Raw genomic sequence first — 23,765 nt, forward strand, 5'->3', positions numbered from 1 at the left:
CCCCATTGCATTCTTGCCTGGGCGACAGAGCAAGACTCTGTCTCCCCCCCGCAAAAAAAAAAAAAAAAAAAAGAAAGAAAGAAAAGAAAGTTCACCTTGAGCTTGGCCTCCCTTGGCCCACGGGACACCCAGGGAACCCCCAGACCTGCCACAGAGCAGACTGGATGGTAGGCCCCTGCTCTAATTACCTGCCAGTCCACAGTAAACAGCCTCTTGTCTTATTTATCTCCTTCCTGGCCATTCTGCACAGTCAACAGGCCAGTTGTCTAAAACACAGCCTTGATCACGGATCATGTCTCTTCCCTGCCTAGAGCCTCCCTTGGCTCCCCAGGGCCCTTGCAGCAAAGATCAATCACCCAGGCCAGGTGTCTACAGTGCCACCATCCAACCTTAACCCCGCCTCGTCCCTACCCAGATTTTTTTTTTTTTTTGAGACAGAGTTTCGCTCTTGTCACCCAGGCTGGAGTGCAATGGCACAATCTCGGCTCACTGCAATCGCCACCTCCCAAGTTCAAGCGATTGTCCTGCCTCAGCCTCCTGAGTAGCTGGGACTACAGGCACCTGCCACCACGCCTGATTCATTTTGTATTTTTAGTAGGGACAAGGTTTCACCATGTTGGCCAGGCTGGTCACAAACTCCTGGCCTCAGGTGATCCGCCCGCCTCAGCCTCCCAAAGTGCTGGGATTACAGGCGTGAGCTGCTGCACCTGGCCAGATTCTTCAGACAATCCTAACAATTCGGTCCCCTCTTTCCATTGTATCCCTCCTCCCTGTCTCCCTGTAGCAACAGCTTCCCATCCAACCCCTTTGCCAGCAAAAATCCACTCCAATGAGGTTACAATGTAGTGTCACCTTTTAAATTTTTTTTTATTTATTATTATTATTATTTTGAGACATGGCCTCACTCTGTCACCCAGGCTGAAGTGCAGTGGCATGATCTGGGCTCACTGCAACCTCCGCCTCCTGCCTCAGCCTCGCAAGTACCTGGGACTACAGGCATGCGCCACCACACCCAGCTAATTTTTGTATTTATTTTTCGAGATGGGGTTTCACTATGTTGCCCAGTCTGGTTTCGAACTCCAGTCTCAAATGATCCACCCACCTGGGCCTCCCAAAGTGCTGGGATTACAGGCGTGAGCCACTGCGCCTGGCCAAGTTCAATTCTGGACAGTCAGCAAACATAATAAAAAATATATATAACTCCGTGTTATAATTTTATATTTGGAAAATGGAAAAAAAAAGCCCTAGTTTCATAATTCAAACTTCTAAAAGTGAAGCTACTCAAACTCTTCTTGGCTGGTGTAGATACTGAGGGGGCAGCCACCGTCAGCTGGGTGGCCTCAAACCTGCATCTCTAGGGACCATCACAATAACATCATCAAAAGGGGCTTAGAGGTGGAGAAACACTGCCTACCTCCCAGGCTCACTCTCTCTTTTAGATATATATATCCACATATATCCATATGACATTATATATGTTTAACATGCATAGTAAAAGAATCTGGAAAGTCATAAACGATAATGTGACCAGTGACTTTTTACAGGGAGGTGGGATTCTGGGTGGTCCCTATTCTTTATATATATACTTGTAAATTTCTCTACTTAGGTACTAAAAATTGACAACACTCTAAAAAATCCTGTCCAAATTGGAACCATCTTTTTGGAGGACAATATGTACTACACGTCCCAAACAGACATGCCTTTTTGACCCAGCAGTTTTACTTCTAGAAACATATTTTAGGAGGGGCACAGTGGCTCACGCCTGTAATCCCAGCACTTTGGGAGGCTGAGGCAGTAGGATCGCTTGTGTCCAGGAGTTTGAGACCAGCCTGGGCAACATAGCGAGACCTTGTCTCTACAAAAAAGTCAAAAAATTGGCCAAGTGTGGTGGTGCATGCCTGTGGTCCCAGTTATTTGGGAGGCTGAGGTGGAAGGATCACTTGAGCCCAGGAGGTCAAGGCTGCAGTGAGCTATGATTGTGCCACTGCACTATAGCCTGGATGACAGAGCAAGACCCTGTCTTGGAAAGAAAGAAAGAAGAAAGAAAAGAAAAGAAAGGAAGGGAGGGAGGGAAAGAAGGAAAGAAAGAAAAGAAAAGAAAAGAAAAGAAAAGAGAGACGGGGAGGGAGGGAGGGAAGGGAGGAAGGAAAGAAAAGGAAGGAAGGAAGGGAGAGAAAGAAACATACTTTAACGAAATGGCTGTGAGGTAGGAGGTGGGACTCAACTCTGGAGGTGGGGCTCAGACACCGGACCAATTGAGGACTAGCCAAAACAGGGACGGGGGCAGAAGCAGCTTTCCATACCACAGATCACCAGTGTGCCATGTCAGTTTACTATCGCCATGGCAACACCCAGGAGTTACCCCCCATTTCCATGGCAATGACCCAACAACCCAAAAGTGACTACCCCTTCCCTAGAAATTTCTGCATAAACTGCCCCTTAATCTACATTAATTAAAATATAATTAAAAGTAGGTATAAATATGTCCGCAAAACTGCCCTGAGCTGCCCCTCTCTACCTGTGGGGGTAGCCCTGTTCTGCAGGAGCAGTCACGGAGCTGTGACACCGTTGCTTCAATAAAGCTGTTTTCTTCTGCTCTACCATGGCTTGCCCTTGAATTATTTCCTGGGCAAAGCCAAGAACCATCACGGGCTAAGCCTTGCTTTGAGGCTCGCCTGTCCTGCATCCGCTGTGCACAGAGATTGATGTACGAAGACGCCCATTGAAAGCATGGCATGTGCTCATGCACCCTGATGAATCAATTATCCAACAACGAGGGCTGATTAAATAAATGATGAGGGTCTCCAGGATGATGATGTACCGTGCAAGGGCACTGTCACAGTTCATGCCACTGACCACCGAGACCCCTAGGAGTACATGCAGATGTATGATCAAAGGAAATTCTCAAGCGATGATAAAAAAAGCAAGTCTTAGGTGTCTCTTCAAGGCTGTGAGCCCCGAGCACAGACAGCACTCACCGCTGTGACACACTGGCGTCTCCCCGATGCTGAGAAGCCCTCTGTAAATATCTTTTGCTGTGGAATTCCATCCTGAATATAGTCTTCAATTTGGTCCGGTGGGGGAAAAAACAACCTGAACCTCCCTGTGGCCCTCTGCTTGTATCCACACACACGTGCATGTACACACTCATCATTCACATCCGTTTCTTCACTTAACATATCTTCCCCAGGAGCCGGGGACACAGGCACGGCAGAGAACGGCACAGACCGAAATCCCGGTGCCCCTCAAGTGCACATCCTAGGGGGACACGGGCAATGAGATAAAGACACAGAAGGTAAAGGGGGTCTGCACACTGACGACCTCGAGGTACCTTGCTGGCCTCTTGAGAACTTGGCCTTCCTCCAAGCAGGATCAAAGCCACCTGAGGGCTTCGCACACAGGGGTGATGGGGGCCTCTGACTCTGGGTGGGGAGTGACCGTAAGGGCCCAGGGTAGACTCAGGGATCCAGTCGGGAGGTACTGCAGTGACCCAGGGCCTCACTGCAAGGCGCTTGAACAGGAGTCCCAGAGCGCCCGGAGCCCGGCCTGGGTCAGCCTCCGCATGGTGATTCCTGGAGGGGTTGATGTTTCTCTTGTGAGCTCTTGTGAGCTTTCCTGTAGTTTCTAAACCTGTGACATCGACCATTACTTGCAAGTACATATAATTAACAAGTTCAGAAACTTAAACAAGCCTTTCTTTAAGACAGAGTCTCGCTCTGTCACCCAGGCTGGAGTGCCGTGGTGCGATCTCGGCTCACTTCAACCTCCGCCTCCCGGGTTCAAGCGATTCTCCTGCCTCAGCCTCCTGAGTTGCTGGGATTACAGGCACCCGCCCACCACGCCCAGCTAATTTTTGTTATTTTTAGTAGAGCTGAGGTTTCACCATGTTTGCCAGGATGGTCTCGATCTCCAGACCTCATGATCCGCCCACCTCACCCTCCTAAAGTGCTGGGATTACAGGCGTGAGCCACTGCACACGACCTAATCTTTGTATTTTTAATAGAGATGGAGTTTTGCCATGTTGGCCAGGCTGGACTCGAACTCCTGGTCTCAAATGATCAGCCTGGCTGGGCCTCCCAAAGTGCTGGGGTTGATTTACAGGAGTAAGCCACTGCACCCAGCCTAAAAACATAAACAAGTTTTAATTCAAGCGATGCCTCTCCTGGGAAGCCTGCCTGGATTCTTACCAGCCCCAACAGATAATCCCTCTTTGGACTGCCTTGAATTAGAAACAGTGCAACCTTCCAGCCTGGCCTGCCTGGAAACCTGTTCCCAACCGCAGCATCCTCCCAGGATACACACACAGAGGCCCAGGAATCCCCTCAATCCTGTGGATTCTGCCTTCCCAGGGGGTCCCCAGGTTCGATCCCTGCCTCGCAGACCAGCATCCAAGGCGGTGAACAGCAGGTCCCTCTGTCCACTGTCATCATTGCCTGCCCTCATCCTCACCCTCAAGGTCCTCACGCACCAGGGAGGTTCTCAGAAGCCTTGAGACATTAGACTCATTAACCTGTTTGTCGAGGGAGCCCCAGGAGGTCCTTGGTGGGCCTGTCACGAGAGATGGGGGAGCCCAGGTGGGCAGGGCACAGCTGCCATCACCTGCCATGGGCTTCCTCCTAAGAAGGTGTGTGGGGTGGGAATGAAGGCTTCTGTAACATGAGATCTCACTGACATATCATGAAAAGAGGCCCCCAGATTGCTATCCTGTTCCCTGGGCCTTGGGTCTACATGAATTCCAACTGCTCACTCAGAGCTCGGGAGAAGATGCTCCAGACAGTGGGCCCCAACTAGGGCAGCTTCAGCTTTGCAGGCCTGGACCTTGGCCCCATTCACTGCCCCCAAGAGGAAAAAGTCCTTGCCTGCCTCCCTGAATCGAGGCTCTGGGCCCCCCAGGCTTCTGCTCAGTGCCCTCTGCCCCCTAGACCACAGACAGCCGAGGCCCACCCTTCCCAGTGCCCCCAACTCCAGGGTCAGGAAGGAGGAGACAGCCCCCAGGAGTTGAGCTAAATCTGGGGGGAGTTGGGAGGAAGATGGGCTGCAGGCGTGGGGGGCCACAGGCGTGGGGGATGAGGTCAGGAAGAACCCCGCCAGTGCCTGAGGTCATCTTGCACTCGGTACCAATTCCCACTCTGCCTCTGGTCAGTTCGGAAGATGCGATCAACCATGAGGTGCTTTAGCCAGGCGTGGTGCACACATCTGTGGTCCCAGCTACTCAGGAGGCTGAGGTGGGAGGATTGCCTGAGCCCAGGAATTCAAGGCTGCAGTGAGCTGCAATGGTGCCACTGCTTTCCAACTTGGATGATAGAGCCAGACTCCCCCCGCCCCCATCTGTTAGAAAAAGAAAAGGATGCGGCTGGGCATGGTGGCTCACACCTGTAATCCCAGCACTTTGGGAGGCCGAGGCGGATCATCTGAGTTCAGGAGTTCGAGACCAGCCTGGCCAAGATGGTGAAACCCCGTCTCTACTAAAAATACAAAAATTAGCCTGGTGTGGTGGCGCATGCCTGTAATCCCAGCTACTCGGCAGGCTGAGGCAGGAGAATCGCTTGAACCCAGGAGGCGGAGGCTGCAGTGAGCCGAGATCGTGCCACTGCACTCTAGCCTGGGCTAGAGCAAGACTGTTGTCTCAGAAAAGAAAAAAGAAAACCATGAGATGCCCTCCCTGCCTCGCTGGCCTACTGTGCTCCACTGCTGCCCGGGAGATGGGCCCTGGCCCCCTAGGGCCCTGGCTGTGGAGCCAGAAGACCTCTTCCTGGCCCTCCCCATCCCCGAGGGTTGGGTCTGATCTTGGGTGGGAGCAGCACAGGCCTCCAGGGCCTCCTTCTCTCCCTTAAAAAATTCAATGGGCTCCTCATAGCAGCCCAGACACCATCCTGGGTACTGCCCCTCTCTTCTCTCCCCCGCACCTGGGTCCTCCAGCTCCTGGGCGAGTAGCCAGGGGACTGTCCAAGCCACTGGGGAAGCAAGAGCCATGCCACTGCCCACTGTGTCCACTGCCTGGCTGTCCACACCCCCTGCCCTCCCACGGCAGAGCCAGAGGTCCTCTTAGGAAACAAAGCCAGCCATGCCAAGCCCATCCCGGCGTGACCCACAGCCCCAGACTCCCTGATAAGGGCCAGAGGCTCGTGACCCCACACTGCTGATCCCTTTAGCCCCTCCCACACTTACACCTCATTTCTATGCCCATCTGTCTCCCACCCCCACCTCCCTTCCATACCCACCACTCCCCGACACCCACCCCCAACCCAGCCCAACCCAAGCCTCCCTTCCATACGCACCACTCCCACAACACCCTCACCCACCCCACCCCACCCTGTCTTCCTTCCATACCCCAATCCTCCCCCACACACATCCCCAACACCCACCCCACCCCACCCCTCCCTTCCATGTCCCAATCTTCCCCCACAACCACCCCGACCCCTGCCCCTCCTTTCCATACCCACCCCTCCCCCACACTCATCCCCAACACCCACCCCACCCCTACCCCTCCCTTCCATATCCACCCCTTCTCCACACCCCCCACGCCTCCCTTTCATACCCCATCCCTCCCCCATCCCCACTCCCTCCCCCTACCCCCACGCCCCTCCGTACATCTCCCCTCCACACCATCAACCCTCACACTTTTCCTCCCCAACTTTCCCCACCGCCCTCCACTTCCCAAGCTCAAGGTGGAGGGGTCTGGGGAGAGCTGCTGAGCTCTTCTCTTTGCTCCTTGCTTTCTTGGCTTGGATGGTCCCCTTAAAACCGCTCTTTCACCCCCCACCGCAGGTGAGTTGCCCCCTCCCCAGGCAGCCGCTCCCCAGCAGGGGTTAAAAGGCCCCATCTGCCTCCATCAGGGCGCTGAGCCTTGGGGTCATCACGGGCGCCGTCCTGCGGAGCCCGCCCACCCCAGGCTGGAGCTGCATGCATGGGGACGGGGGGCAGGATGAGGTTGCCACCCCAGCATCGGGCACCACCCCACCCTGAGGAGGCACTCACAAGCCGACAGAACAGGGGCGGTGCCGGGCAGGGGACCTCATGGTCTCGTGGTCTCTGCGGCTCCAGTGTGGTGGGGGCCGCCTCCTTCACCCACGCCCCAGGTTCACAGTATTGCCATGGGCATCCGATGCCCCTGCTCACCTGGGTCCGGTGGGTTCCCAGCAGGTTATTTTGCCCACAGAGCCCCTCTTTCCCCAGGAAGGAAAATATAAATATAAAAGCGCACGCTGCTGTGGCCAGGCACGGTGGCTCACTCCTGTAATCCCAGCACTTTGGGAGGCTGAGGCAGGCAGATCACTTGAGGTCAGGAGTTCGAGACCAGCCTGGCCAACATGGTGAAACCCTGTCTCTACTAAAAATATAAAAATTAGCCGGGTGTGGTGGCACATGCCTGTATGTAATCCCAGCTACTCGGGAGGCGGAGACAGGAGAATGGTTTGAACCTGGGAAGGAGAGGTTGCAGTGAGCCGAGATGGCACCACTGCACTCCAGCCTGGGTGACAGAGTGAGACTCCATCTCAAACAACAACAACAACAACAACAAGAATGCACGCTGGGTTCGCCTCCTGGATGGCCCCTGCCCTGGGATCTGTCCTCCCTCTGGCCTTACACTGTCCGAGCCCAGGGACAGCAGGCAAGTCACCTCTCCCCTGTGAGGAGACACCCCCTACAAGCCTCCTTCCTGTGAACCTTGCCTCTCTCATCTAAAAACCCTCACCTTCCTCATCTAGAAAGCGGAAATCCCTCCTGCCTCGGATTGTTTTGGGGATTTTTTTTTTTTTTTTTTGAGACATTTTCCCTCTGTTGCCCGGGCTGGAGTGCAGTGGTGGGATCTCGGCTCACTGCAGCCTCAACTTCCCAGGCTCAAGCGATCCTCCTGCCTCAGCCTCCCGAGTAGCTGGGACCATAGGCAGGCACCATTACACCCGGCTAATTCTTTTTTTTTTTTTTGGTAGAAAAGGGATCTAGCTCTGTTGCCCAGGCTAGTCTCAAACCCCTGGGCTCAGATCTTCCAACTTCGGCCTCCCAAAGTGCTTGAATTACAGACATAAGTTGGAAAAAAATCCAACTAGTATGCCCAGCCCAACGCTTAGCAAGCAGTAGGTGCTCAATACTGGATCGCGCCCTTCCCGTTTCTCTCCCGAGAGCCGCCGCGGCCCAAAAACAGAGGCGTCCCCTTACCACCAGGGGGCAGTGTTTCCCCTCTCAGCTCCGAACGGGACCCGGGGCCTCACGGCGCTTTCTGGCGGGGCCTGGGGTCCCTGCGCTGCTGGAGAACCCCCGGCACGGCAGGTCCCATCCGTTAGAGGGGCTCCGGCCTCGGGGTGCTGGGAGGGGGCGTTCAGGGAAAGTGAGGCCGTGCAGCACAGGGGCTCCGCCCAGGGACTTTGGCAGCCCCGACTTTCAGACCTGGCCCCGCACTTCCGGGCGCTGGCCTCCTGGAGTCTCCGTGTCCTGGTTGACGGAGCTGATAATGGCAGCCCGCGGGCGGGGCAGCCCCGCAGGGAGGGGTGACCTGGCCGGGGCAGGATTTGGGTGCTCCTGGCTCACCTCGCCAGATGCCACCTTACCCGCCCCAACGGGAGGCAGGAGGCTGCTGCTTGCTGTGTGATTAACACCCAGCCAGGGCGCGTTGGTGTCTGCGCCAGAGATCTTGTCCCGCCAAACTGGCTGTAGACAGTCACCGGCAAGAACGCCCAGCGCGCTGGAGCATCAGGCCAGCTTGGGCAGCAGGGAACACCAGGAACGCGCAACCCAAGACGAGGTGCTGGGCCCAGCTGGCAGACACTTCCATTTAATGACTAAAAATCACACATCTCAGGTCACGGGTCTAGGAGAAAACACACACACACACACACACACACACACACACACACACACACACACACGGATTCCCCATCAAGGGGACATTTGCAGTTTCCAAACCTTGAAGATACTGAAGGGACCAGAAAGTTCCTTTGAGTGGCTGGTCACCCAAAGCTCCCGGTCCTCCACCCACTGCCCTTTGGAGGGACTCAAACCTTGGGAGGAGAAGGCTGAGCTTCCTGTGGGCCCCTCCCACCCACACCTGAGCCAGAGAGAAGACTGCAGCAAAGACATCCAAAGCCAACGGCAAGGGAAGCGTCAGCGGGGGCAGAGGAGCCAGCCCTGTCCTTGGCTCACCCAGCTTCCACCATACAGGAACCCAAGACCCCAGCCTTGCTTCCACAGAGAACTGGCAGGGGTCCCCTGGCCTGGCCATCACAGGGACTCACATGGGAGCCTTTTAAAACTCCAGATGGTGGCTGAGCACAGTGATTCATGCCTGTCATCCCAGCACTTTGGGAGGCCGAGGCCGGTGGATCACTTGAGGCCAGGAGTTCGAGACCCTCCTGGGCAACATGGTGAACCCGTCTCTACTAAAAATACAAAAATTAGCTGGGTATGGTGATACGCGCCTGTAATCCCAGCTACTCAGGAGGCTGAGGCGGGAGAATCGCTTGAACCCGGGAGGCGGAGGCTGCAGTGAGCCAGATTGTACCACTTCACTCCAGCTTGGGCAACAGAGCAAGACTCTGTCTTGGAAAAAAAAAAATACAGATGGCCAGGCTTGCCTCTAGATTGGCTGGGCCAGAATTTCTGGGGTCAGTCTGAAAAGTCTGCATTCTTAGCCCGGGATTCAGATGATCATTAGGTTTGGGAATCTTAAATAGAGTCTCCCTTCTCTCTTTTCACTGTTAGGGAGGGAGAGGGAGTGATGTTTTTGATGCTCTGTTACTTTAGCTGAAGGATTTTCTATCAATCTTCACAATCTGTCTTGAAATGGTTCCCATCAGCCACTTCGTGCAGGAATCCAAGGGGCTAAGAAACATACACACACACATACACACACACGGGCACACACACAGGCCCACTGTGCCCAGAGACCCACACGCGCAGCAGGCTGCCAGGAAACCAGGACTCAGGGCCCACCACAATCTGGAAGGAACATCAAGTCCCCAGGTATAGCCACGGCGGCTCTTGGCCCATGGTCTGGTGGCCAAGGAGGCATCAGCTGCTGGTCACAGGTGGCGGGCCGCTTCCCAGAGGATCTGCAGAGCCATGGAGGCGCAGGGGAGCTGGGCCAGGGTGTAGGTCACGGAGCGGATGGGTGCCCGCAGCTTCCCCAGGTAGGCCACGGTGTGTGCCACACGGCCCACGAGGAAGACCAGGAAGTGCATCCAGGCGACAAAAGGGTTAGGACCCAGAAAGGAGTAGACGAAGCCCAGGAAAAGGAAGGGGTAGATGGTCTCCATGTCGTTCCGGTGGGCCCTGGGGAGACAAGAGGGGTGCGGTCAGCCAGGTATTAGCTTTGGGGCCATAGGCCCTTTTGAGAGTGTCATGGAAGCTGGGGGTGCTTTGACCCACTGGGGGTCATTTCAGGCATATCACACACTCAAATCCATTCACAGCCAGGTCAAGGAGATGGATACCCCAGAGTCCAGAAGAAGGCAGCTCCAAGCTTATGCTTGCAAGCAGCTGAGGCAGCGAGGCCACGTCATGGGCTGGGAGTCAGAGGGCTACTGGTCCAGGATGCTCTTACCATACCTCTATGGCTTGCCGGGACCCCACTCCTGCCATACTCTCCCCCACCTTCCTCTCTAGCCCTTGGATACCAGGCAGGAAAAGTGGGACTCAGAGGTGCTGAGTGCTTTACAGAGCCAACGAGTGGAGGAGCTGGGATTGGAACCGAGTTCTGACTGGAGTTTGTGCTCTTTACCTCCAGGGCAGGGCTTCTCTGAGTCAGGCCTGAGGTCATCCTCCTTCTGAATGCAGCTTCCTGGGCCCCTCCCGAGTAGAAGGGGCTAGAGCCCAAGAGCAGGCCTTTGAAATGAATGCCGGGCTCTGTCTCCTTTTCCCCCTAAATCTAACTACCACCTGTCCTTTCAGGGACAATCATAACAAGATCCGCTCCCACTCACTGGAGCCAACCGATGGCCAGCCCCCGGTGAAGCTCTTCATTTTACACATCCTTTCCTGCCTCTTTTTCTGTTGAAAGGAATCAAGCATGTGCATATGTGTGGTGGGGGCGGAGGGGCTCTGTATAACCCCACCATAAATAAATGACCAAGAAAGAAAACTCAGAAAACTCACCTACTTCTGCTGGTTCACATTTTCCAGACTCCTACTAATGGCCGGCTTCCTTTATGAAGGGTGGGGAGGTTGAGTCCCATAAATTAGAGACTGAATGAGCAACTAAACCCATAGATTGCCACATTGGAAGCTCAAATAAACAGGAATTCAGTGCCCAGGGCATGACCTCCCCCAAGGACAGGCCACGCGTGTGAGGTGCAGGAACAGAAGCATGTTCTCCGGGCCTTCCTGCTGACATACATTCCACCAATAACACCGTCTCCTCGGGCCAGGCCCAGACTAGCAGCACTGAGTGGGGACCCGCTGCAGGGTCCTCCTCTTCCCTCTCACTGGCAAGACGATTCTTGGGCCAGTGCGATGGTGTGTGGGCCTGACCAAAAGGAAAGAGGGGGCCTGGAGTGCTTGGCCACCCCACACTGTAGGAAGCTCTGCAGCGTGCCTGGGGTGGGGGTGGGCAGGGAAGGAGACATATGTGCAGAAGCCTGAATGATGAGAAGCTGGCCCTGCAGGGGAAAAGCATTCCAGGAAGGAAGACCAGTGTGTGCAAAGGTCCTGAGGTCACAATAAGCACAGCATGTTCAATGTGCAGAAAGGTGAGCCCATGGCTACAGTGCGGTGCACAAGAGGGAGTGAGGCAGATAAGAGAGGGAGAGGAATTCAATCTGAGTGTACAAAACTCCTGTAAACCCAGCAGGGCCTAGATCTTTCTCAGGCCAAACTCAGGACACAGCACCTGGCATCTGGGTCCGCATATCCCGAGACTGACATGAACCCCTCTTCTCCTTTTCCCCCAGATCCTGACCTTGCAACCCAGACACAAGGAAAGCAAGTCTGTGGCAGGGCAGTTCTCACCCAGCGGTGGGGAACACTGTGGCCTGCCTGTGTCTGTCAGAGGCTGGCTCTGGATAGATCCTGGGGTACTGCCCTCAGGGAAGACATAAGAGGGAGATTACAGACTCACGCCTGTAATCCCAGCACTTTGGGAGGCCAAGGCGGGCGGATTACCTGAGGTCAGGAGTTCGAGACCAGCCTGGCCAACATGGTGAAACCCTGTCTCTACTAAAAATACAAAATTAGCCAGCCATGGTGGTGCATGCCTGTAATCCCAGCTACTCGGGAGGCTGAGGCAGGAGAATCACCTGAACCGGGCAGGTGGAGATTGCAGTGAGCTGAGATCATGCCATTGTACTCCAGCCTGGGCAAAAAGAGGGAAACTCCCTCTCAAAAAAATAAATAAATAAAATAAAAGAGAGGGAGAAACCAAAGACTGGGGCCACCTCCCTGTCAAGTAAGTCCCTTACCAGGACTGATGAGGAAAGGCAATAGGTGTTCCTCCAAAATCACTCCATCCTTGGCCGGGTGCAGTGGCTCATGCCTGTAATCCCAGCATTTTGGGAGGCTGAGGCTGGTGGATCACTTGAGGACAGGAGTTTGAGACCTACCTGGCCAACATGGCAAAATCCCATCTCTACTAAAAGTACAAAAAAAAAAAATTAGCTGTACATGGTGGTGTGTGCTTGTAGTTCCCAGCTACTCAGGAGGCTGAGGCAGGGAATCACTTAAACCTGGGAGGTGGAGGTTGCAGTGAGCCAAGATCGTGTCACTTCACTCCAGCCTGGGCGACAGAGTGAGTGAGACTCTGTCTCAAAAAAAAAAAAAAAAAAAAAACATAAAACAAAACAAAAATCACTCCGTCCTCTGGCAATTGAGCTGTGGGTACCCACATCCCCCTACAGGCTGATTAGAGGGACACCCTTGGAAAACCCATTTTTGATTATGTCCCAAAATGAGGTCTGCCTGTCACAAGTGATTCACAAGGGAGTGCCACCTGGATGAGGAGTTTTGTAATGTTTATTTGAAAGTTTCAGGAAAAGCACAACCAGCATATGCAACTCGTTCACTCAGCTATTCCTTAAAGTATGTGTTGATATTTTAAGAGTAAGTCCTTTGGGAGGCTGAGGCGGGCGGATCACGAGGTCAGGAGATCGAGACCATCCTGGCTGATATGGTGAAACCCCATCTCTACTAAAAATACAAAAATCAGTCAGGCGTGGTGGCAGGCGCCTGTAGTCCCAGCTACTCGGGAGGCTGAGGCAGGGGAATCTCTTGAACCCGGGAGACAGAGGTTGCAGTGAGCCAACATCGCGCCACTGCACTCCAGCCTGGGCAACAGAGTGAGACTCCGTCTCAAAAAAAAAAAAAGAGTAAGTCAATGTTTGGAAAGCTGTTAAGAGAATCATAGTACAGATAGTTCACAAACATAGCCAAACCCTGAAGAGTGGGTGAAGGAAAGAAGTTGGGGAACACAGGGTGGGAAGGAGGAACAAGACGGGAAGTTCATGGCAGACGTGGATCCTGCTCTGCCTGGCATGTCTGCAGGCTGGGGAGGAGCAGGCCTTGCAGAAAAAGCGGGGACTGAGCCCCACCTTCTATTTCCAGCCATTGGGCAGCAATTCAGCGGTCACCAGCGTGGGAGGAGAGGTGGTCAGGAGCTCTGACTGTCAGCCCCTGGGGCTGGCCCAGCCCTCCCTCACTCGTCTGGTCTGTCTCAAACCGCAGAGGGGCCCCTCCGAGGCCGCAGTGGCCAGGGACAGGGAGCAATGGAGACACCAAGGAATGATGGAAGAAAGCTCACCTCCCTCCTCCCACCTCCAGGCTCCAAACCGAGAGACATGGAGGCAGGCACGTACCACAGACGTGCTCGGGTGAAATGCATCATTCAAATAATAACCATTTTTTTAAGGTAAAAGCCACCCAAAGCAAATTCCTACTAGACTGGACTTGTATTGCCTCCTGCAGCATCAGGCCTGCCTTCACCCTCCACAGACTTTTCCACACCAGCTGCATTTTCCTGCATAGGTGACAGCGGTGAGGACAGTGATCCCCAGATGGCCAGGACAGGGACAGCTGCTGGCCGCTCCACAGGGTCTCCTCTTCTCTCCCCCAGCCCTGCTGGCATCCACGGTGGGGCCAATTTCCTTGACTTTGTATCAGGGTTGACGCAATGCAGTGCCTGCTTCGTTTCAAAGGCAGGTATACAAGACAGTGAAATCGCCTTCCCATAGAGGGACAGCCTCAGGAGCAGAGCCGAGAGTGCCAGGCCCCTCCTCAGAGTGCCAAGTGAGTGAATTCCTGGAAAGTGCTTACAACACTCCTGGACACTGAGTAGGAAGATCTTTTTTTTGAGACAGAGTCTCGCTCTGTGCCCCAGGCTGGAGTGCAGTGGCGTGATCTCGGCTCACTGCAACCTCCACCTCCTGGGTTCAAGTGATTTTCGTGCTTCAGCCTCCTGAGTAGCTGAGACTACAGGCGAGCCCCACCACGCCTGGTTAATTTTTGTATTTTTAGTAGAGACAGGGTTTTGCCATGTTGGCCAGGCTCGTCTCAAACTCCTAAGCTCAGGTGATCTACCCGCCTCAGCCTCCCAAAGTGCAGGGATTACAGATGTGAGCCACTGTGCTTGACTGAGTAGGGAGATTTTAAGCAAGCCGCCATCTCCTCCATCGCCATCACCAGCCCTGTCCTGGACACCATCGCTAAAGCTCACTTCACCCTCTTGGCTTTGCCAGACTTTCTGACTGCCCTCAGATGCTCCGGCCAAATGAATCAAAAGCACGTTATGGGGCTGGGTGTGGTGGCACACACCTGTGATCTCAGGCTGAAGTGGGAGGATCACTTGGGTGCTGGAATCAGCCTGAGCAACATAGCAAGATCCCGTCTCTACAACAATAAAAATTTAAAAATTAGCCAGGCATGGTGGCACGTGTCTGTGGTCCCAGCTACTCAGGAGGCTGAGGTGAGAAGATCGTTTGAGCCCAGGAGGTCAAGGCATCAGTGAGCCGGGATTCCACTGCACTCCAGCCTGGGCGACAGAGCAAGACCCTGTCACAAAAAAAAAAAAAAAAAAAAAAGACCGGGCGAGGTGGCTCATGCCTGTAATCCCAACACTTTGGGGAGGCCGAGGCAGGCGGATCACTTGAGGTCAGGAGTTCAAGACCAGCCTAGCCAACATGGTGAAATCCTGCATCTACTAAAAATACAAACATTAGCCAGGAGTGGTGGCGCGCACCTGTAATCCCAGCTACTCAGGAGGCTGAAGCAGAAGAATCACTTGAACCCGGGAGGCGGAGGTTGCAGCAAGCCGAAACCACGCTATTGCACTCCAGCCTGGGCAACAAGAGTGAAAGTCCATCTCAAAAAAAAAAAAAATTTTTTTTGAGTACTTCGTGGTGCAGCCGGAAGGGAGTATTAGGCTGGAAACCTCCAGTTCTGCTGTGGTGCTTATTAGCTCCATGGCCTCAGGCAAATCTCTCTCACTCTCTGGGACTGCGTTCACTATGTACAAAATGTACATGCTGGATGACATCTAAGGGACTTCTAGGGCTGACATTTTGGGACCCAATTTCCTGACAAATCAGTTCACTCAGTTTAAGTCTATACACTCCAAACAGAAATGCTCCAAGCTTAGGTCGCACGTTTGCCTCTCTTCTTTGGGACCACACAGGTAACCCCTCCGTGCAGTTCCACACACCCAACCTCAGATTCTGGCCCAGACGCACATTGCCGGGAACTCCGGATAGGTATCCTGAAAAGGTGGCTAGTCCCTGGCTTCTCCCAGAACTAGGCTCACATTTGGACTGCAGCATGTGCTAACCTGCAAGGCAGATTCATGCTCCAAGAACCAAGACTGAAGTGCTTTCCTATTTGACAGAAGGGTGACTCGAATCATACCATAAACCCTGGTCTAATATTTAACCAACTTTTGCTTCCAGGTGGTCTCCCCCTTCGGGTTCCAGCCAGTTCTCCGGTAGCAGACGGCAGGATATAGAATTCTCTTAGTTCTGCACACTCAAGTTTCCATGAGGTTCTGTGAAATCAGGTGGCAGAGGAGGGGCCCAGGGGACCCAGGCACTCCCCAGGTCTGACTTGGGCCCAGTATACAGTCGGCTTCCAGTAAGTCCTCACCAAATGGCTATAAAGTATTATTAGATAAGACGCACTCAGAAAGTGCTGAAATGAATTTCTACCATTTAAACCCCAGTACTGTAGATGAGGGGTTATTTTGGGCTGGGCGCAATGGCTCACGCCTGTAATCCCAGCACTTTGGAAGCCCGAGGCAGGTGGATCACCTGAGGTCAGGAGTTTGAGACCAGCCTGGCCAACATGGTGAAACTCTGTCTCTACTAAAAAAAAAATACAAAAATTAGCTGGCGTGGTCACAGGTGCCTGTAATCCCAGCTACTCGGGAGGCTGAGGCAGGGGAATTGCTCGAACCCGGGAGGCAGAGGTTGCAGAGAGCCGAGATCGTGCCATTGCATTTCAGCCTGGGGGACAAGAGCGAAACTCTGTCTCAAAAAAAAAAAAAAAGATTGGTTGGGTGGAAATGTCTCGGCGCCACCCGGGTCTATCGTCTCTCCATGGGGCATGGTTTCAGCCAGTAAAAATAAACCAAGTATCTGTAAGGCCACTTGGCCACTCCTGTGCCACATTGTGCCACATGAAAGCTTTGCTACATAAAACCTCTGCAGCCTGGGAGGAGCCAAAACGCATCCTCTTGGTGGCTGCTGTGAGCTGGCCCCGGGCAACCCACCGTCCTGGCCTCCTGCTGCCTGGACAGCTCATCCCATCCTTCTCCACTGTCCAGGAGGGCCGCCACAGCTGGGGACAAGAGTCACCAATGGAAGTCATGTATGGAGAAGGCTTTTGTTCTTGAAAGTACAGCCAGTGCTTAGCACAGTGTCTGGGATGTAGTAAGGGCTCATTAATGGAGAGACGGGCCTCATATGAAGGATTTGAAAGGGTAAAATAGCAAGGAATTTCACTTCCTACATGACACAGGTCTGTAATTTTTTTAAAACCACAAGTGGACATATTATTGTCAATGGCCAAGAAAAACATAAGAAAAAAACCCACAGACTTTCTTTCAAGTGAAAGAAATTTGTATTATTTAAATGACAGTGTCCCACCCATTTCCGCCTGTGATGCAGGGGAATGTGTTGAGACCCATGAGACAGTTTGTCTCCGGCCTCAGCCTGTCCAGCTCTCCGTCCTCCCCACTTCCCCTTCAAGCTCTTCCGATGACCCCAACCCCTGGAGTGCCATCGCCTCACTCTCCAGCTAACTGGTAAAAGATGGCAGAGCAGAAACTGCCAAAAAAATTTAATATTGACTGTGATTATGTGAAATTAGCATTTAGTCTCTGATGGGATTTTACGAAGCCAGTTTTTTAAGGATCTTTTGTTTTTTTTGAGATGGAGTCTCACTCTATCCCCCAAGCTGGAGCGCAGTGGCGCAATCTTGGCTTACTGCAACCTCCGCCTCCTGGGTTCATGCCATTCTCCCGCCTCAGCCTCCCGAGTAGCTGGGACTACGGGCCCGTGCCACCATGCCCGGCTAATTTTTGTATCTTTAGTGGAGACAGGGTCTCGCCATGTTGGCCAGGCCTGACCTCAAGTGATCTGCCGGCCCTCGAAAATGTTGGGATTATAGGCATGAGCCACCACATCTGGTCAAGAATAATTTTTTTAGTAACATTTACCAACATGGAAAGTGTTCGCAAAATAATGTTAATAAAAGAAAATCAGAACTCCAAATTGGGTGTACCTAATGCATGCCTAATTTTATGGAAAATATTTAGCTATAGAAGACAAAGAGGAGAGAGATGCAAGTGTGAACTGTGATTAGAACTGTGAGTGGTTTTCCTTTCTGTCTCTGTGTTTTTTCAGTATTACCCAAATCGTCTGTAATGAGTTCTGATTTTTATAATGAGGAAATTCATTTTAATTGACCAGGGGGATGTTAAGCATATGAAAAGATGTTCAACTTCACTAAGAATAAAGAAGTGCAAAGCAAAACAAAAATGTGATATAAATTTTCACCTATCACCTTGGTAGGAATCCACCCAAATATGCCAATACAATGAGTTGTCAGTTGCATTGTCAGAGGGATGGAAAAATGGCTCCCACACCAGTAGTGGGACATGATTTTGTTGCATCCTGCGGTTTTACTCACACATACCCATAAAGGCAAATGAAAAAAGTGTTGAGGCCGGGTGCGGTGGCTCATGCCTGTAATCCTAGCAGTTTGGGAGGCCGAGGCGGACAGATCATCTGAGGTCAGGAGTTCCAGACCAGCCTGGCCAACATAGTGAAACCCCATCTCTACTAAAAATACAAAAATTAGCCAGGCATGATGGTGCACGCCTGTAGCCCCAGCTACTTGGGAGGCTGAGGCAGGAGAATCGCTTGAACTCGGGTGGCGGAGGTTGCAGTGAGCCAAGGTGGCACCACTGCACTCCAGCCTGGGCAACAGAGTGAGACTCTGTCTCAAAAAAAAAAAAAAAAAAAAAAAAAAAGAGGTATTGAGGCCTTCTGTTCATAACACAGAAGGAGCCCAAATGCCCATCGCAGGGGAATTGGTTAGGGAAGTTATGGGCTGTACATTCAACAGAGTGGCAACATAAATACTGGAGCACCAATACAGTGAATGCAACTCCTCTGTGAGCCGATATGGAACAAACTCTGTTGCCATATTAAAAAAAAAAAAAAAAAAAAAAAAGCATAGTACAGACCAGAGGATAAAGGGTGATTCTATGGGGCAGAACGGGAAAAGCGTGGCACACATGTTTGTAAATGCAGCAAATCTCTGTGGGAAGATGCATGGCCATTGGCAGGAGTGTTTGCCCCTGGCCAGTAGAACTGCGTAGTGCCTGGAGGTCAGAGGTAGGAGGGAGACTGAATGTTCACTGAAGTCACCACCTTTCTCACTTTGTAATTATGAGTCATGACCACGTCTTACTTTTCCAAAGTTCATTTGAAATTAAATCATTGAATAAAGTAAAACAGTCAGAGAAGATCAGGAACACAGAAAACCTCAGCCCCTGGGAGTCCTCCAAGTCCCCTGTGTGCAGAAGAAGTTCTGAAAGGGCAGGCCATGGCCAGGTGTGGCCAGGCCAGGGGCCCGAAGTACTTGCCTGAGGCAGCGTTCCACGTCGGGGTCGCTCCTGCAATACTGGGGGCCTCCGTGTCTCAGGGCATCCTCGGGGTTGGCAAAGGCCTGAAATATACCAGTTGAGAGTCACTCCTCGTGAGACAAACGGCCCAGTCACCTGGGGCTATGTTTTGTCCATGACCAGAGTTCACAGTGGCAGGACAGAGGTGCAGTTGCACACACACCCATCCAACCATCATCCACGATTCCTACCCTGTGCCAGGGGCTGGTAGCTCACCATGAAAAGGCCCCCCTGTCTCTGCTTTTATGAAGCTCACAGTCCGATGGGGGAGTTGCCTATGAACCAGGGAAGGCCAGGGTGTCTCACCTGTTAAGAAGAAGGCACGGCTGGCCTTGAGAATGTTTACGTGGGACCTGACCCAGTCTGAGGCTCTGAGAAAGTTTCTCTGAGGCAGTGACATGAAAGCTGAGGCTTAGGGCTGGATGAGGTGGCTCACACCAGTAATCCCAGCACTTCGGAAGGCCAAGGCAGGGGGATTGCTTGAGCCCAGGAGTTCAAAACCAGCCTGGGCAACATAGCAAGACCCCATCTCTAAAACAAGCCAGGTGTGGTGGCTCACGCCTGTGAGCCAAGCACTTTGGGAAGCCAAGATAGGAGGATTGCTTGAGCTTCCAGGAGTTTGAGACCAACCCGGGCAACATAGCAAGACCCCATCTCTAAAACAAACAAACAAGCTGGGTACAGTGGCTGATGTCTGTAATCTCAGCACTTTGGGAGGCCGAGGCAGTTGGATCACTTGAGCTCAGGAGTTCAAGACCAGCCTGGGCAACATGATGAAACCCCCTCTATAAAAAATACAAAAATTAGCTGTGTGTGGTGATACACACCTGTGGTCCCAGCTACTTGGCAGGAGGGCTGAGGCAGGAGGATTGCTTGAGCCTGGGAGGTCGAGGCTACAATGAGCCGTGATCTTGCCACTGCACTCCAGCCTGGGCAACAGAGCCAGACTCTGTCTCCAAAAAAAATAAAACAAACAATCTGAGGCTTGAAAGATGCATTGACATTAACCAGATGAAGGGAGGGCTGGAGCAACAACATTCAAGGCAGAAGGGACAGCACGTGCAAAGGCCCTGAGGCTGGAAGAAGCTGGGCATGTGTGAAGAACAGAAAACCAGCACACGGGAGCACAGAGGGCAAGGGACAGGGGCCCAAGATAAAGGGACAGGGGTCATCAGGGGTCCTGGCAGCACCTGAAGAATTTGGACTTTGCACTAAAAGCCATGAGAAGGTCTTGAGAGCCCCAGGCTGAAAACCCAGCTCCGCGCTGATTAACCACAGGATCCTGAACTCTGAAAACTCAGGAGAAATCACAGCTCATGTGCTGTGTGACGAGTGAGAGGGAGACCTGGAGAAGCCGCTAGGACAATGCCCAGCACAAGGAGGTGCTCAGTGAATTGTCACTTTCTCTCATTGGAAAGCAGAGACATAAAGTCACACTGAGATCATCAGAGGCCCATGACTCTTGCTCCACTGTTCCCTGCTGGCATCCAGACAGTCAGACCCCACCAGGCCCACAGCAGAGCCTGAATCTCAGGAGCAGGTTTTCTAAATTGTTCAGCTGACGGCAAATCCTGTGCTTCTGACTCATGACTGTCCCCCAAGGGCTGGTTTGTCCTCCCTGGTGGGCCTGCCCTGCCCTACCCCAGAGGAGAATGCAGCTCAGATCTTCGAGATTGGAACCTTCACACCCAAAATTCCTCTCTGCTGGCCCTGAAATCAGTGAATCACCAACACCGAAGGCTCTGTCCGTGGATCTGTGATACGTTTCAAGGGGCCTCAGCATACAGTGGGCACTGCCTTTAGGAGTCCACTGCCCATGGAGTTGCTCCCCCTGGAGATACAACTCAGATACAAGTCAGCCAGGCCAGAGCCAGCTGCAGTGCAGGCCAGGAAGCCCCCAGTGTCAGCGGCCGAGGTGCCACCTTAGCTGGGGTGGAGGCCAGCCTTTGGTTGAGGTCCCTTGAAAGTGACCTGAGGCTGCGATGCTCATGTTAATTTCAGTTACTTATAAGTCTTAAGGACAAACATTGGTGGGGCGTTGCATTCTCCTGGCGCTGCTGTCACGACCCCCGTTTACAGGTGAGGACACTGAGCTCCCAGACTTTTCCAGGTCCCCAGGCTGGTGGGTGGAGGAGCCAGGGCCTGTGACTGTCACCTCCAGCAAGTCCTTCCTGGATGATACTTAGCGCCCAGAGCAGAGATAAGAGGGGGCCACGTTGTCATGAGGAACACCTCAGGAGCAGCCCAAGGAGTGGGGGTTTCCTTCTGCGGTGTCCCTGCCAATCAGGCAGAAAGGCTCTGGGACAGGTTCACCTCCTCCCTTCCCCGAATTCGTGTTAAAAGGAAATCACAGCTGGGCACAGTGGCTCACACCTGTAATCCCAGAACTCCAGGAGGCCAAGATGGGAGGATCACTTGAGCCCAGGAGTTTGAGACCAGCCTGGGCAACATGGCAAAAGCCATCTCTACCAAAAACATAAAAAATTAGGAGCAGTGACGCACACCTATAGTCCCAGCTACTTGGGAGGCTGAAGTGGGAGGATCACCTGAGCCCAGGAAGTCGAGGCTACAGTGAGCTATGATCGCACAATTGCACTCCAGCCTGGGCCACAGAGCAAGACCCTGTCTCTAAAATAAATAAATAATAATTAAAAAAAAAAAAAAAAAAGGAATCGCTGGCCTGCTGGTAAGAACCCAGGCCTCAGCCAGGTGCGGTGGCTCACGCCTGTAATTCCAACACTTTGGGAGGCTGAGGCGGGTGGATCACCTGAGGTCAGGGGTTCAAGACCAGCCTGGCCAACATGGTGAAACCCCATCTCTACTAAAAATACAAAAATTAGCAGGGCATGGTGGTGTGTGTCTGTAATGCCAGCTACCGGGGAGGCTGAGGCAGTAGAATTGCTTGAACCCAGGAGGTGGAGGTTGCAGTAAGCAGAGATCATGCCGCTGCACTCCAGCCTGGACAGCAGAAAAAAAAAACAAAACAGAAACCCCCGCCTCCAAGACAGGATGTGGGCTCTGAAGCTGGACACTGGAGTTCAAACCGGGCTGTGTGACCTTCATAAGTGATGTCTCCTCTCTGAGCCCAGGTTCCTCACCTAGAAAACAGGATGACTATGGCGCCTCCCCTGCCCTCAGGGCTGTGGCGGGGATCTCATGCTCAGCTCCGGGCCACATTCGGTCCTCTGGGAAGGATTCAATGAGTGAATGCAGCTGTTCTACTTGATGCCCGGATCCCATATCCCAGGACCAGCCAAGGCAGGGAGAAGTCAGAAGCTATCAGTGTGCTGTAGCCTCCGGGCATCCTATCACTTGGGCAGCTGCCCTGCCTTTAATCCTGCCTGTACCTGCAGCAGGGCCTGAGCCTGGCTTGTGGCCAAGATCCTCACTCCCCAGGATCCACCCGCATGCAGTGCCAGAGCCAGCCTTGCCTCACCTCGCCTTTGAACTGGACACAGGGGAAGACAGAGACAGTTTCAGGAAATGATTGCTTTATTAAAATACCTGGGGAGGAAGTAACAGGTGCCTGGGGTCTTTCTGCATTCTGCCGCCAGGACAGCCGACAAGCTCAGCCTATGACTTTGCAGACTCGCCAACCAGTGTGACGGACGCTACTGGAACTTGCCCCGGCCCAGCTCTGGGACTCGTTAATGTTGTTTTGGTTCAGGGGCTCGGATTAGTGGGGAAATTCCTCGCTGAGCACCCCGACGGTGCCCGGCTGGGAGCTGGCCTTTGGAGGCTACAGTGGGCTTGTTAGTGACATTTGCCAGGAGTTGGGAATTTCCACTTAAACGTTTCTCGGACTCCTGTTTTGCCGGTTCCCACTCCACCCAGATATCAGACCTCCCGTGCCGGGAAGCCACCAGGTTAGACAGAGGCTTTGTGCTGTCACGCTCCCACACTCCACCCTCCAGAACCTGCTTCTCTCACAGACACTCGCTGGCTCTCTCCATGCCAAGAACTCAGCCCGGTGGCACGGCAAGCGAGTAAGTGCTCTTAAGCCAGAGAGGAGAAGGTGCAGGCCTTGCTGACACGTGGGACTGGCAGGAAGCCCCCCGGCGGGGCTGGAAGAGGTGCTCACCTCCCAGCCCTGCACACACCTTGGCCATGTTTCCCTATCCCGGGGCTTTCCTGACAGGACGTGGAGAGAAGCAAGTATGACCCAGGCCGGGGACCCCCAGGGAGGCACATACCTTCTTCCGCAGCCTCACTTGGCCCGTGATGATGGCCACCACGTACATCTTGATGACCAGCAGCGTGCTGCAGAGCAGGAAGGCCGGGAGGGCCGGGCTGCTCATCACCAGGCTGTGGGCAGGCATCTCTGGCCAGCGCAGCTCAACTGTGGGTGTGATCAGCTCGACAGAGGAGCAGCCTGCAGGGAAAGCACAAAGTGGGAGGGGAGAGCCTTCCTGCAGCCAGCACCGCCCACGCCCCGCCCCACGGCAGCGGCAGCAGGGCCCCCTTCTCCTGTGAAGAGAAAGACAAGCAGTTGCCGGAGCTCCAAGAAGCAGAGAGTCTCCGGGTGTCCCGGACCCAGTCCCTGGCTCTGGAGCCCTCCTTCCAGGCAAATCCTCAAACACTTTCAAATCTGTTTCAAAGCTGTTTCCTTATCTACAGTGTGGGAGCATGTGGTGGTGCCTGCCTTCTAGGGAATGATGAGGCT

The 23,765-nt window shown here is 53.3% G+C and overlaps 1 protein-coding gene across 1 annotated transcript, besides 2 other annotated features; it reads right to left on the bottom strand.

Moving 5' to 3' along the window:
• Positions 7,851 to 8,100: an enhancer, noted in NCBI's record as "active region_29119". NCBI's record gives its function as "activates an Ori minimal core promoter by ATAC-STARR-seq in GM12878 lymphoblastoid cells {active_cell/tissue: GM12878}" and the evidence as "EXISTENCE:reporter gene assay evidence [ECO:0000049][PMID:35858748]".
• PTGES (prostaglandin E synthase) lies at positions 8,758 to 23,451 on the bottom strand. The gene is made up of 3 exons (NM_004878.5): positions 23,296 to 23,451; positions 19,064 to 19,146; positions 8,758 to 10,269 (listed from the first exon to the last, which is right to left on the bottom strand). The coding sequence occupies exons 1-3, from the start codon at positions 23,419 to 23,421 to the stop codon at positions 10,020 to 10,022; spliced, it is 459 nt and encodes a 152-aa protein (NP_004869.1). The 5' UTR covers positions 23,422 to 23,451; the 3' UTR covers positions 8,758 to 10,019.
• Positions 13,106 to 13,606: an enhancer, noted in NCBI's record as "H3K4me1 hESC enhancer chr9:132504976-132505476 (GRCh37/hg19 assembly coordinates)". NCBI's record gives its function as "activates a minimal SCP1, AML or CMV promoter by ChIP-STARR-seq in primed H9 embryonic stem cells {active_cell/tissue: H9 hESC(primed)}" and the evidence as "EXISTENCE:reporter gene assay evidence [ECO:0000049][PMID:30033119]".
• Positions 23,452 to 23,765: the final 314 nt, after the last annotated feature.

Source organism: Homo sapiens, chromosome 9 (genome assembly GCF_000001405.40).
Source record: "Homo sapiens chromosome 9, GRCh38.p14 Primary Assembly".
Classification (NCBI taxonomy): domain Eukaryota; kingdom Metazoa; phylum Chordata; class Mammalia; order Primates; family Hominidae; genus Homo; species Homo sapiens.